The 15380-nt window shown below is 33.8% G+C and overlaps 1 protein-coding gene across 57 annotated transcripts in view; it reads right to left on the bottom strand.

Annotated features, from left to right (window-relative positions):
• Positions 1–15380, bottom strand: part of ADGRL3 (adhesion G protein-coupled receptor L3) — an 878010-nt gene that overhangs the window by 788417 nt on the left and 74213 nt on the right. The gene's annotated exons all lie outside the window — the stretch shown is intronic.

The raw sequence follows: 15380 nt of genomic DNA, 5'->3' as shown, positions 1-15380 counted from the left end.
TACATGGGTAATTTTGTTTAACCTTCATAACAGCCATTGTATAGAAGAGTAACCTGAGGAACCAGTGGCCCAGGGTCACACAGCTTGTAAGTAGTGAGCCAGGTTTTCTGCCTAGACATTCTGCCTTTAGTGTCCTCTTACTATCTCCTTATATTACGCCAGAATCCCTACTTTGGCTTTTGTATTTATTTAAATTTGCCCAACCTGAACAAAGATAAAGTAATCATGTAGAAAATCCTTGGTACATCAATATCCAATTATTTGCCTAGTTAAAAGCTTGGAAACATGGATTCAGAATATTTCTTATTCTGATGGCGTAAGAGAGAAAAAAACAATTACCTTAGATCTTAACTCTAAATGGGTGCCTTACTATATTATAAATTATGACTATGCCATAAAGGCATACATTATTGCCAGATACATTATTGCCATAATGTATATTCCTATAATCTACTACGCAGTATGTTAATAGTCTTCTAATGTTGGAAGTGACCAGTGAAACAAAATTATTCATGTCATAATTATTTATGTTTGGTAGAATTATAAATATCTTATTAATCAGATACAAAGTAAGAAAAGGAGAAAGATGGTATGAAACACAATAAGCAAATTTTACTCAGAGGAAAGGCTAATATTTTAGGGTGAAATATTTAAGGTGAAAATATATCTAGCATCTCTTACATATAGCCCTCATGAATACATACCTTGAGTGGACAGATAGCCAGTCATGCCTGTTAGAATTTATGAAAGAAGAAAAGTGTGGGAATAGGAAATGAAAGAAAATATGATAAGTCTGTTTCAAGTTACTAGAATTCCTCCGCTGTGCTACATCACAGAACTTTATAACCTCTATATTGCGTTAACTTATGTACGTATATCTAGGTATCTTGTGTGTGTATATATAAATATATGTATAATTTTACTTTAAATTTTACATTATTAATTTATTTTGACCCATCCTGTTTCTGAACGATTAGTGCCCTGGTTGAGGAAGCACACCAGTATAACAAGTTTAGTATAACCAGTTCTGTTATATGAAATATTTGACTAAAATGGCACTGTCCTAAAAATTTAGAACCGCTGAAAAGCTCAAGAACTAAACCAGAGAAATGGATCTCAATGCAAAGTTTTCAGTATGAGACCAACCTCTTACTTACATGCCTCTATATAAAACAAAGGGAGCTATCTCTTATTTACTTTAAACAGTTTTGGGAAACATTGGCCATACAACTATTCTCAAAACGTTCTATGTGATGCAGCCCCTACCATAGAAACTGAAAAATTCAGATATGCATTTACCACCCTGTCTTGTAGCTAGGAAATATTATGTAACCTAGTCCTAGCTAATAATATATAAATAGAGTGCTTGAAGACTTCTGAAAACCATTTATTCAATTCACTATATTCTATCTTTGAGTGTTGTTACGTCAAGACCTGATGTGAAGACATCTGAAAGCCATCTTAACCAGAGATTTTTAAAAAACAGCAGCGAAACAGCAGCAACTACCAACCAAAGATTTTGAAAAGAGAGTCGGTCCTTGATGATTCAATTTCAAGGCCAAACCATCACAGGGACCACTTTGGAAGTAATATTAAGTAAACAAGCATCCTTTTAGTTAATGCTAATGGTTAGCTTGGTTTTCTGTTATGTATAGTCAAAAGGATTCTACATGATTAAGCCAGAAGTATCTATTTAGTGGAATAAAAATACCTTAGGGAGAGAGTAAGGGATGTTATTTAGTGAGGGGAGGAACATGACAAGGAGAAAGCATAAAACAGTTTTCTCAGTGAAAATGCCCCTCTCCCAACAGAACTGGGCTTGGGGGATGTCCATAAGAATTGTATTAGATACTGTTCCAGTTATGGTGTTCAATTTCATTTTTTCCAATACACTGGCTGGATGTAGTATTATGAATAAAAAGATCCTAAAAGTAAGGGGGAGAGAGTGAATGTTAATGTTCAAAAGCATAAAACTTTAAGCTAAGGCCCGCTCAACCCATAGATAGTCTCAATGACCATGAGTTCCATGAATATTTGTTATTTTCTGCCCCTGAATTTGTTATGTTTTCCAAACAGTACCCCGAATTTCCTAGCCATGGGAAATTGGTCTCACACCCATCCAGGGATAAGCCTTGATTGAGTTAGGGCAATTAGTACATGTCATCTTCATGGCACTCCAGATGGATTAGGACCCACACACTCTCCAAATCAAGCCAGTCAGACCCAATAATATGAATCCTGGGACTTTTATAAAACACAACAGGGAGGCAGCTTTTCTCCTTTCTATCAGAATTTTAAAGATTTTACATTTCTATGCCCTTGATTGTCAGACCGAAAGCTACATACAGAATTAATTTATAGTTTGGTAATGCACATAAACAGTAACATTTATTCAAACAATTGTTTTCCAATAGTATAAAAATAGTAAATTAAATGATCTCTTATCCCTCGTTGCGAACACTTTTTTTCATTTAGGTAATTTTTCTACTGTTTTAAGAGCATATTAAAGTTATCCTCACCAGACAAGTAAAGTGCATTAAAATGGAAATGTCGATATGTTAGAACAGGATAGGTCACCTTTAACAACATCATCAAATGTATTTTTACTCTTGCAGGCGATATCACAGCATAGAAAGAGATTATATTAGTATTATTAAAATTAGCATTACTAAAATCCTAAAGTATTCAAGAAGTCAAATGGTCTTCACTGCAGTATCCTTCTATGATATGATTACAAAAACTGTAAACATTGTGTACTTGGACTGTTTCTATCTTGGTGTGGTAAAACGTATTTTCTACTCAAGTACAGAGAATATGGAATCTTCTACATATTGAAAATCCCTACTATGAAAAAATCCCTTATTTATTGGTGATGTTAATCATTAAACATGAGTCAGTGAAAGCTGGATACTGTTTTGTTTTTCTTATAAACTGATAGAGGCCTTTGACTTCCATAATTACTAAAAAATATAGATATCCTGATAACCAAAAATTTAAAAATAATTTGAAATTTGAAAAGAGAAAATGTATATACAACTAGTGACCTCTAAGAAAAGAAATGTAAGGATTTTGTAATTATTAAAGAAAGATGATTCCCAAGATTATACATTAGAAATTGTGTGTGTGGTCCCCTTTCTCATGTCATTCACGTTAGGGCCTCTAAAAAAAATACTGTTTTTTCAAAATATCAATGAATATGATAAATTTACATAAGAATTTACAACTATCCACTAGGTTTATCTCGATATATAAAAGGAAAAAAATCATGTCAAACTGAATTATTATATTTAATTATTTGCACAATCTCCCAATTACTGAGTAATGATATATAATTCACCAATTTGCTTCAGTTATATAGGTACTATCTCAAAGTCAGACTGAATTTATCTTCTCATGTAATGACTTCTGCCAATATCTAAAATGCTGTAAAATATTCTAGAAAAAAATTTTAAATTTTACTCTCAAAGAAATATAAATGACTATAAAAAATCAACATCCTTTTAAAATTTCACTGCTAATGTCAGCTAGCTAGCATGATGAGGTGAAAATCTTAATTGCTGAAAAAGATACTAAACAAGTGACTCCATACTCTAAAATTTCAAAAAAAAAAAAAGAAAACCTTCATTGCTCTCTGAGGATTACATGAATTCGGCAGGTAACCCATGTGAATTATTCTATGGGTTCAAATAATGGAGCCAAAAAAGATAAATCAAGTTTTAAATAATTATATTTTTAAAAATATACAATATCTTCTTATGCCAAGAAGTTGTACAACTGACCACAAAAAGGATTAATTTTATAGCAGAATAAATCAAAATATTTTAATATATTTAAGATCTAGTTTCATTTTTAAATGATTCTGAGAGAATGAAACACTTTTCTGTAGTGAAACAACTGACCACAAAAAGGATTAATTTTATAGCAGAATAAATCAAAATATTTTAATATATTTAAGATGTAGTTTCATTTTTAAATGATTCTGAGAGAATGAAACACTTTTCTGTAGTTCTCCTTTGCATGAGTTGGAGGGGAAAAAAAAGTAAAGTAGAAACCTATGTCAAAGCTGTCAAGTAAAAGCAAGTGATTCCTTTTTAAATTTTCTAACAGGAATTAGCCTCCTCTCTATTCATATCTGGTACCATATTAAGTGAATTCAAGTTCACAGGCCTGTAAGGAGAGCACCAAAAGGACAAAGCATTTCACAAAATATACAATAATTTTTAGGATAATGCCAGGTTCAAAATTGGGTTCCTTTAAACCCCTAACTAAACAAAGAATAGATTAAAAGTGAGGTTAGAATACACATGCTTTCCTTTGTTTACAACAATGCCTAACTGTCTTGAATCGCCGTATTTTACCAAATAGCACAGGACAGCTTTGAGGATACTAACCCATTTCTGTGGGGCAACACTGCTAAAAAAATATATAAATACATGAGAACCAACCCAAATGGATTTGCAACCTAAGCAGATGGTTGAGAAACCGAGGAAAAATATTAATAGAATCATTTTAGAAAATGTATTTCCTCAAATTTAAGATCAAGAAAATTACTGAAGTAGTTGACTTGAAACACAGAACAGTATCCCAGATATGAAAACTAAAACCATATATATCTGCCCTCCCATTTGTCAATAAATATTTGATAATTTTATGCAGTAAGCTAAATCTATAATTTAATTTGTTAAAGGCTTATCAAATTTGTCCAAGTGGTAAAAACTTTTACTGTAATTAGCACCCAGTGATACGATATTTTTTATGTCTGATATACTAGTTGGTTAAAGCATTATTCAAAATAAAGCCAGGGTCGTATTTTTTTCTTTCTCTACAGATTAAGTAGTTTCTCTCTCATTATGAGACTCCATATCCAAGTAACTACCTGTGGCCAACCATCTCACAAATACATACTTTTGGACATTAAGATCAATAAGTATATTATAGAACGATTTTAAACAAAGATTGGTAACATACATGAAAAAACAAAGAGCGGGGCTTAAGAGGGAAGGATAATTTGAATGACATGAAGAAAGGAGAGGAGAAAAGGAGAAAAGAAAGTAAGGAAAAGAGGCATGAAAAATATCTTTGTTGATTTATATATATAAATTATTTTCCATTTTTATTTTCCACCCCCTCCCCCACAAGATAATGCAATTTCACCATTTGTTTATTTTAAGAAAGCACACAACCAATCCTAAAATTTTCATTACCAATGTCCAATTATTTTGATACCTAGACAAAGCTTTCTCATAAAAATTTAAACCATACTTTTAAAACACGAACATTAAATGTATTTAGTAATAAAAAACTCTCTACATACATTTACACAGAAAATATATATTTCTGGATTAGTCATTAATATGCAGCTCACAAATGATATGTGGTGGGAAGCCTTGGTAAACAGTAGGTGCTAAACTTTTATCTAAATTTGTCATATAATTTTCTGTACCTAGTGGTGTAGGCTTTATTGGTTAGATCAGGCAATTATAAAACAAGAAACTGGTCCACTGTTTCTTGTAGCAGCACTAAAAGCAATGGAATAACCTGATGCTGATATTTCAGAAGGGAAATAAGTTGTCTCAGCGGTTAAGGAAGTTGAGTCTATGTTTTAAGTAAGTTAATACTCTATCAATGTGCTGCAATCTGATGGTGAGCTGCTACCTCTAAAGAAGTAACAACTTCTTCAAAGTCAAAGGTATCTCTCACCTTAGAAGGCCTCTCTCACTTATATGACTGCAAATTAATGCATGTTTGGGCAGTTGTTTGTAAGGTATCTGGAGTTAAGAACATAAGTATCCCTTTACATCAATTAAGACGCCATGGAAGAAAATTGGACTGGGCAGGTTATTTTATCAAGGACAAACTATCCAAAGTGCATTGGGATCCATTAGGTACTTGGTTCACAAACACAAGGACTACAACCTTGTGATTTTGTATGCAAGCAGGTATCGTTACATAGTTATACAATTAAATTGAGGGGGATGTTCTAGAATGTGGACCTTAATACTATAAATCATTTCAATGTAAAGAGAGATAGGGACTTTGGGCAGCGCCCTTTCAAATTTGGGCAAAAATGCACGGACAATCAGGTGCTTAAAGTATTCTACTTGGTAAGGTAAACTGGCCCAGCTATTTGCAAACAGGGTAAGAAGCCAGAAGACCCTGAGGATAAATTTAGTCTCTGAGATCTGAGAGTTATTTAATAACACAGTAATTTGTAAGTTACTATGTCGTGTTTTTTCCCTTTATCCTTGAACTTGAATAAAGTCTGAACCATCAGATCTGCACTTTGGAGAACTGAAGAAACAATCTGTACCATTTCTGAAATGAAGTTGCAAATGAGGAGAGTGGTGTCTCTCATTTCCAAAGGCCAGAGTTAGTGACAAAATTTGTGATCAATAGAGCTGAGAAGACAGGCTGCGCAAATCTCACTAATGTCATCAGCATATGAAGCAGCTATTGAAAAAAGGAATGAAAAGAGAAACAGAAAAAGATGGAATTGAAGAACCTGAGGTCCTATTCTTGAACACAGTTGAGAAAGCTCCCTGAAAAACTCTCAGTTCTTAGGGATCAATTTTTGTGGGTGCTAAGTTTTAGCCATCAAGTTAGCAGTGGCTGCAGTTACCATAAAACTAAAACAGAAGTTTGAGTTAAACATTTGTTACTTGAAGAGAAAATATGAACACAAAGGGAACAGAGAGGAATACTTTTATCTTTCTAAATTACAAGCAGTGTGTAATACAATTATTCATGGCCTTGTAGATAATCCTTCTAAAGTGTGATCTGCCAGTTAGCTAAACATAACCTTCCATTCTGGCCTCTTAATGTTCTGTTTGCCATAAGAATGTATTACAAAGGAAGAACCATGTAGATAAAAATATATCTGAACCATGATCAAATAAAAAAGGCTTGATATCCACTGTGAGAATTCTACATGTCATATTAAGAGGAGGGTCTTCACATTTGAAGTTTTTCAATGGATAACAAAAACTCTGGGTCTGTCAGGTAACAATGAACAAAATATTAATAACTACTAGCTGTTATGCTCTATGAATAGGTTTAAACTGTTTAACTGAAATTTATTTAATTTCCATTGTGAATCTAAAGATCAGTAACAAACCTCAACTACAGAACTGTGAAATATGAGGTTTTATTTTTTATCAGTGCTATTCATTTTAAATCTGTTACCAATATTCACACTCAGTAAACAATTTTAGGCAATATAAAACAAGATAAAAAGATTTGTATGTATAGGAACTAAGAAAGAATTTACTATGTTTAGTAAAAAAAAGTTAGCATCCCTTTAATGAAGCCACAAGTCATCCAAAAAAATGACTAAAAAAACTCAAAATGTTATGGTTGCTGAAGACCTTCAAAAGCATTATAAATCTAACTTCCTGCCTCCAAAAGCCAACTTCTCACTATACTACACTACCACATGTGCAAAAAACCCATACACAAAATGATCTTATATGAATATTAAAATAGTTACAAATCAATCAATTTAATAACCAAATGCGGATTTTAAATCTGATGTAAAATGTGATATAAAATCTCATTATAGAGTCCTGAATTTGATCTTGTGAAAGTAGAAGTTTAACATGGTCTTTAAAATTATGAGACTTACCTTTTTCAATCTTCTTTAGCTGAAAATTCTATTATCAGTTGCCATACTTTAGAGAAAGAATGAAAGCATATAAATAGCATTCTTTACAGACTACTCATGAAGCCTCCTTAGAACTTGAAAATATGCAAATTAGTATTCTCAGCTTCATCTCAATGAATGATTAGAGGAGACTGAAGTTATCAGTTTTTATTTTATTATATTTAATTTTATGACAATATTCCCTATTAGCAGAAAGGAAAATCAGAAGTCATTCTATACAGAATCTTGATAGCCAAATGAAAGACAAGTTAGATATAGTTCCCACAGCTAGAGGAGCTAGAGACAGAGCCAAGTGCCCTACCAGTACAGAGAAACAAAATGGGTGGTTTGGAAGGTATATTCACATTGGTGAATCTAGAAAGATGATGTTGATGAGATAAACTGAAAAGACTTTCTAAACTTTAAAAACTATTTTTAAATATAATACTTCCAATTTTAAAATGTTCTTTTCCAAATCAATGTTATGGTTTTGTCTAAATAAAAGAAATAGAATACTGCTCAAGAAGATTTTAACGGGACAAGCAACTAATGCTCAGTCAAGGCCAGCTAACATCCTGGATCTAATAACGAAATTCTACTGATTTACTTTGCCCTAATCTCTCCTGCATTTGCTTCATGGCGATAAGGCATCTAGAAGGAACCAAAGGGAAGGAGTACCTTAATCTGAAGATTCAGAAGTATAAATTCTGCCTTCTCTTCCACACCTGTTAGTAACTTAATGCTTCATCCAGGAATAAAGTCCCCATAGCCATTTTTAGTGATTAACAATTTCTAAATGCAATAAAATAAAGCTACCTGCAAGCATTGTAAGTCCTCTTAAAATATTTAGTTCTCATTAGAGCCTACAGTTTTATGTGCGAGAGATTTTACTCTTGGGGTACCCAAAGGTTAGGTCAGAGAAATATTGTGAGATAGCAAATGGAAGCTTACAAGTAAAAAAGCTTTAAAAAATAATAGCAGCAATGGACAAAGCTAAAAATCTGGATGTGAATATTATAATTTTGCTGGTCTTTGGGATGGTACCCCATTCGGTACTACCTTTTAAAAATGGCTACTCTCTTAAAAAAAAACTATTACCTTTTTTAAAAAACTGAAAATAGTTTTATTACTTTGATGATAAGGCAATATTTGTCAACCTTTAAAAGTTAGGCATATATATGTATATATATGATAAATACCAGTAATTACTGGAAGTATTAACTAATATATATGATAAATACCAGAAATTACTTGAAGCATAACATTTTGATGCATAATATTCCAGAGCTTTATATATTATTGTATCTACCTATCAATATGTTTCTTCAAAAAAAATTAGGTCATATTAGGTGACTGATTCATCTTTCTTGTTCCATAAAATACCACAGCTATTTTCCAGTTCAGTGAGTGTAAATTTTGTATCAATAGTTTTAAATGTTGCAAAGCATTTTGCTAAGTGGATATATTACAATATATTTATCTATCTCTTTTTGTTAGACATACAAATTAATTCTAATATCTTGCTATTAAAATATGCATCCTTACATGAACTTCTGAAGTTAATTATCTATTTCCTTTTAAAAAGATGTTAGATACATTTTTAACCATTAAATAATAACAATCTTGTAATTTAGAAAGCCAATCTACTCTGAAATAATTTTCTCAGGAAAAATAATTTCAGACAATACAAAACTATCATTGGGGAAGGAAATTTTAATTTAACATTATCTAATGTTTAATCTCTATTACCTCTCCAAAAACAACATGGTGTACTTAAAGGTAATCTAGTATACTAGGTGTGTTAGGGAGAAGAAGTAACACCTTTTACAGCAACATCTTTTATTTTCATTAATTTATACTTCTTGAAAATAAAGGCCAGGCGCAGTGGCTCATGCCTGAAATCCCAGCACTTTGGGAGGCCAAGGTGGGTGGATCATGAGGTCAGGAGATCGAGACCATCCTGGCCAATATGGTGAAACCCGTCTCTACTAAAAATACAAAAATTAGCCAGGCATGGTGGCGTGCTCCTGTAGTCCCAGCTACTCAGGAGGCTGAGTCAGGAGAATCGCTTGGACCTGGAAGGTGGAGGTTGCAGTGAGCTGAGATCACGCCACTGCATTCCAGCCTGGGCAACAGAGCGAGACTCGGTCTCAAAAAAAAAAAAAAGAAAAAGAAAAGAAAAGAAAAGAAAATACTTTAAACCAATTTAAGAAAGAAATAAACTGCCTGGGTTTGTATCTCCTCTATTAGTGTCAACCTTTTCTGGGATGAAGGTACCACAACACTTCTCAGAGTACATTCCTATGTATTTGTACATTTGATATAGAAGTCTCAACCAGCTACTACTACCCATTAAGTAGTTGCAACAAATATTTATCCTTATTTTGCAGACGGGGAAACTTTGGCCAAAGGGGTTAAGTGACTTGGCCATATCACATATTTATCAATAGACCATATAAGAATAACGCACTTGATATCAATTTCCTGAATCCAAGTGCTCTTTTCATGGGGCATGGCGGTGGATGAGGGGTACAGAATTGGAGAAAAAATATATACATAATAGATGGACAAGGAGGAAAAGCAGCAACAGAGACATGTAAAGTCCTCAAATGGAAAAGTAAATCCATGAAGAAACATGGTAAATCCAGCCACATTGGATTGTATCACTTTTATACATATAGAATCATAGATGTGGCCTTAGATAGCATAAAGTCCAACCACATCTTATAGATGAAGGGCTAGCTGTAATTTTTTAGGTCTGAGCTTAAATGCTGTCTATTTAAAGATGCTTCCCTTGACCACACTCTCAAAAGGAAATCTCTCGTTACAATATTCATATAAGGTGCTCAGCAAACATATTTTGAATGGATGAATGGGAAGACACTAACCTGGATGACAGGAAAAAATGAATCTTATTCAGAGAACCTAGCATTCACCTAAACTAGTATTCAGGGAAACTATTCACCTAATAGATGCAAAACAAAATACTACTCAGAAATGTCAATGAATACCCAATTTTGATATAGCAGTTTACTTATAAGTAAACTAAGTATCAGTAGTGATACCCATTTGGCTTCAAAACTCAGTCCAAACAGATCCATATTTTTAAAGTATCTGCCCCTAAGCTGAAATATTACAACTTCCATTATCACATAATGCAATATCCTTTTTGAAACCTGTCTAGACAGTCATGATCTGCTGGAGTCTGAAATATTTTTCTTTTATGATCATGAACAGACGTAGAGCAACAACATGTTTAAAGCACTAAATTGTAGACACACAAGGATTTTATTACTAAAGGAGTTTTGCTCAACATGAATTAAGCGTTGGCATGCCTGCATGCAAACATACAAAATCTACAGTAAAAATTAAGCTTTGATATTGTACTTGCTCCTATCTGTTCCTTTTTGTATATGTGCTCAAAACCATTTCTTACTACTGAAGTGCTTCTTTTGCCCTTTGAAGTAGTACCACGGCCAGGTGCAGTGGCTCACACCTGTAATCCCAGCACTTTAGGAGGCCAAGGCAGGTGGATCACTTGATATCAGGAGTTCGAGAACAGCCTGGCCAACATGGTGAAACTCCATTCTCTGATAAATATACAAAAAAATTAGTGGGCATGATGGTGCATGCCTGTAGTCCCAGCTACTCAGGAGGCTGAGGTAGGAGAATCACTTGAACCCGGGAGGTGGAGATCACAGTGAGCTGAGATCATGCCACAGCACTCCAGCCTGAGCAACAGAGTGAGACTCCGTCTCAAAAAAGAAAGAAAGAAAAGAAAAAGAAATAGTACTGCAATGTTTGCTAAGATATTTTGGAATCTGATGTCATGTTTCTGATTTTCAACACTGAGACTACTACTAGAAATAGCATAGAAAACGTTTTAGTCGTTTTCTAAAAGCTAAAATTCAATTTGTTACTAGCTCATTAATTATTTTTGCTCAAAACTCCAGGGTTTTGATTTGAGGAGAAAATTCCCTTGAGGAAAAAAGAAATATTTTTAGATCTTAGCTGCATGTCTGTCAGGGAGCAAGAGAAAGGGCAGATGAAAGGGACAATCTTTTCAACATATAAACATGATTCATGACATAACTATAGGCAGCCAAAGCCAGTTATAATAGGTTTTTTCTTAAAAAAAAATGAAAGGATCAGCTGTGTCTCAGTTGAACAATTTTAAGTATCAAGATCCAGGGGAAACATTACCCAATTTTACTTTAATCTGTTCTCTTAATTTCCTGACCAGCACTTTGGAAATTGTTGACTGCTCACAGTCACAAAGCCTTACAATGGAGAGTTTACCCAGCAGGTATAAAATCTTGGCTGGCTTCCCTCATGGGATTAGGTCATTACTGCTTCTTCTACAAGTCTGAGAATCTGTCTATATGCCAGTTAAGTGGCCACTCCTAATATTTACATTGCTAGGTCTAATATGAACAATAGCATTTATTTTTATAATTTATTATAAGCAATAGAGCTTAAAATACATTTTGACACATATTAATTTATTTGATCCTCACAACAGTCTTTTTTGGCACATTGGATAGATATCATTATCCTATTTTTATAAATGAAAGAGATGGATTTCAGGAAGGTTAAGTAAATTGTTCTGAACAACACAGCTGGCAAGGCGTGGCTCTGGAACTGGAATTAAGATCTTTAGACTCCTATTCAAGCATTTTTTTCCCACTATATCCCTGTGATTTTGGATTGTGGATTTTAGTCAGTTCTACACCAAGATGCTGACTCTACCTAAATAATTTAAATTTATTTAAACCTTGACCAAAAAAAGAGTATTTAAATAAGTAAATATGACATAAATAAATTAAATAAAATAAATAGGTTTAATGAGAAGGGGAGAATGGAACTAATATGTGTGTTTCTACCTGGGTCATGCCGTATAATACGTACTTTTTATGTTATCTGCATTCATCAAGACAAAGCAGTATGAAACATTTACTGAACTAATCTATGCACCGTTCTAAAAATCGCATTCATAGCTCTAGTCCTTATAACTCGGTCAGGCTTATATTATCATTCAGAAAATGTAGAACTTGAGGCTCAAGAGAATAAATGATTTATTGGTCCCAAATTATACATCCACTATGTGGCAATGTCAGAAACTGAACTTAGATGCCTGGCCCTAGTAAAGTTTCAGGGAATATTATGTAGGTCTTATAAACTCCATCCATAGGTAGTCAGAAACCATCAAAAAAACACTTGCTAAAATTCAGACTTATCTTTTAAATAAACAAATGAAATAGGGGGTAGTTTCATTCTAATAGTTACAGTAGAAAATAAAAATTTAAGCTTGTACAGGACTTGAAGTTTCCAATTTCTTTTAATCATTAATTTTTGTATTCTCACAACAGTATCTGTTCTGTTTAATATTGGGTATTATGATGTCTACTCTGATAATATTGGGTATTATCCCTATTTTTCAGATGAGCACAATATGAGTGTTAAGCAGTATGCCTAGGAATTCATGGTTAAATTTTTTTTATAAAAAATAAAAAGAATTAAAATGCAGGCTTTCTTTCTAAATTTCAGTTGTCTTCTTACTAAAGTCCCAGCTTGCAAAAAACAAAATGGGAAGACTGTCTAAACAAGAAAAATAAACCTGACTAAAATGAAGATCAGTTATATTTTACTAATTGACAAAAATGAATTAGAAATGTACAGAAAGGATTCAAAAATCTATAACACAAAATGATTCCTTAAACACATCTGCGGAAATCCCACTAAACAATTTAGTACAGGAATTTCTAGCCCCAAAAGCCAAAACAAAGAATAAATGTGATCAAAATCTGTAAAATCGTCACTAGTGACAATTCACTAAATTCATATATAGCAGAATTGAATGCTGTTCCTTTAAGTTTAAAGGAGGCAAATGTATAACAAATGAAAAGATATATTATCTATACTGCAAGCATTACACATAAAAACCCAAGAAGTCATACAGACAGAAATACAAATGGTTTAAAAGCATCTAGACTTATGGCTGACATACCTCTAATGGGGTTTGTCAGGGAAGCACTAGAGTAATGATGGGGAAAGAGCCTTCTTTGTTGAGGATGTCAACATACTAAAGATGTTGAGGAAACTATAATATATTCCTTTCTCCCCAGCAGCATGACCTTTATTTAATGGATTGGTTTTCAGAGTAAGATAATCAACTTCTTCTGTCTAGCAGCCTTTGCACCTAGGTACTTACTCTTCATTTCACCAGAATAACTCTCCCGTCTTTCTGTTTTGGGCCTGCACCCTTATATCATGAACTCTGATGCCAGCTTATTGTCTTTTCACTAACGCCTTTCTTTGGCCTGTGCTACAGAGTCTGAGCTCTAATGCTTGGAAAAAATAATAAAATAAAAGTTGATTCACAAATGTCTACTTCTTTAATCTTTATTTAGTTTTCTACTTTTATTTTTAAGAGAATAAATAGATTCAACAGGGTCTCCCCTGAGGCCAACAGACATCACTTTTATTTTAGATATGTAAGTAACCAAATGCCCAGTCTTGATCTGTCTAGACATGGTTCACACTTAAAGGCCTACAGGGACCAGGCAGGTTATATAAATGGGTCAAGTGGGTTGAGAAGAAGTAATAGCAAGTGGCAACATCTATGCCAAACTGAAACATGCATGCTCCCTCTAAAGCAATCTAATTCAAATTTTCAAAGAACATAGAGAAACAAACTTTTCAGACTAGATCGACTATGCAGGACACTCTGAGATTTCTGGGGAAAAACAGAAAAACCAGACGCCCAGTGCTTTATCTTCAGATAGTATGTTGATTAGATAGCATACTCTTTATCAACATGAACTCATGTATGCACATCCTATGAAAATGAAAGCAAATACCCTTTAGCTACCAACACTAGGCAGATGCTCTAGGAGATTTAGCTATCATTAAATGGTAACTTTTGTGACTACTGAAGAAAGTGTTTTATCAGGTTTTAAAAAGCACTGTTTCAGGTACCATTCTAAGTTGATAAAGGCAGAATCCCTACCCTCAGATAAACTTATAAAGATAGTTACTCTGATAATACAAAAGAGTGAATCACAGGTTTAAATGGCACAACTGACAACATTGACAGCCAAGAAAAATTACCTTGTTCCAGTTGTATGAACAGTATGTAGTTTGGGGCAGTATAGCAGGTTGACTCCATCATCTATAAATTCTGTAGGCTAAAAGTGCCCTCAGTTGCAATTCTGGGCCACTGCTTTACAGAACGAACAGTGAACCCTAGAAAAAGAAAGTGACTTTCCCAAGGTAAACAAACATACAAACAAAAAACTAGTTAGTGGCAAAGCCAGAAGCAGATTTCAAAGTGTCCATCTTGTTTTGTTTTGAAGACAGGGTCTTGTTCTGTCACCCAGGCTGGAGTGCAGTGCAGTGGCATGATCACTGCAGCCTTGATCTTCTGGGCTCCATCCTCCCACCTCAGTCTCCCACGTTGCAATGACAACAAGCGTGCACCACCACACCAAGCAGTTTTTGTTTGTTTGTTTGTTTTTTGGTAGAGACAAGGTCTTGCTATGTTGCCCAAGCTGGTCTTGAACTCCTGGCCTCAAGCAATCCTCCTGCCTCTGCCTCCAAAATCACTCCATTTTATCTGGCCCAATCTGGTTTTCTTTACTAACCAGCACACTGTCCCTGATAACCAAAAAAACAAACACAGAACTTACATTTTTTAACCCTTAATATGTTGTTTTTTAAATCACATTCTGGTAAATATAGT

Source organism: Homo sapiens, chromosome 4 (genome assembly GCF_000001405.40).
Source record: "Homo sapiens chromosome 4, GRCh38.p14 Primary Assembly".
In the NCBI taxonomy this organism is placed as follows: Eukaryota; Metazoa; Chordata; class Mammalia; order Primates; family Hominidae; genus Homo; species Homo sapiens.
The sequence above is the reverse complement of the archived record's forward strand: the minus strand, read 5'-3'. Positions and strand labels throughout refer to the sequence as shown.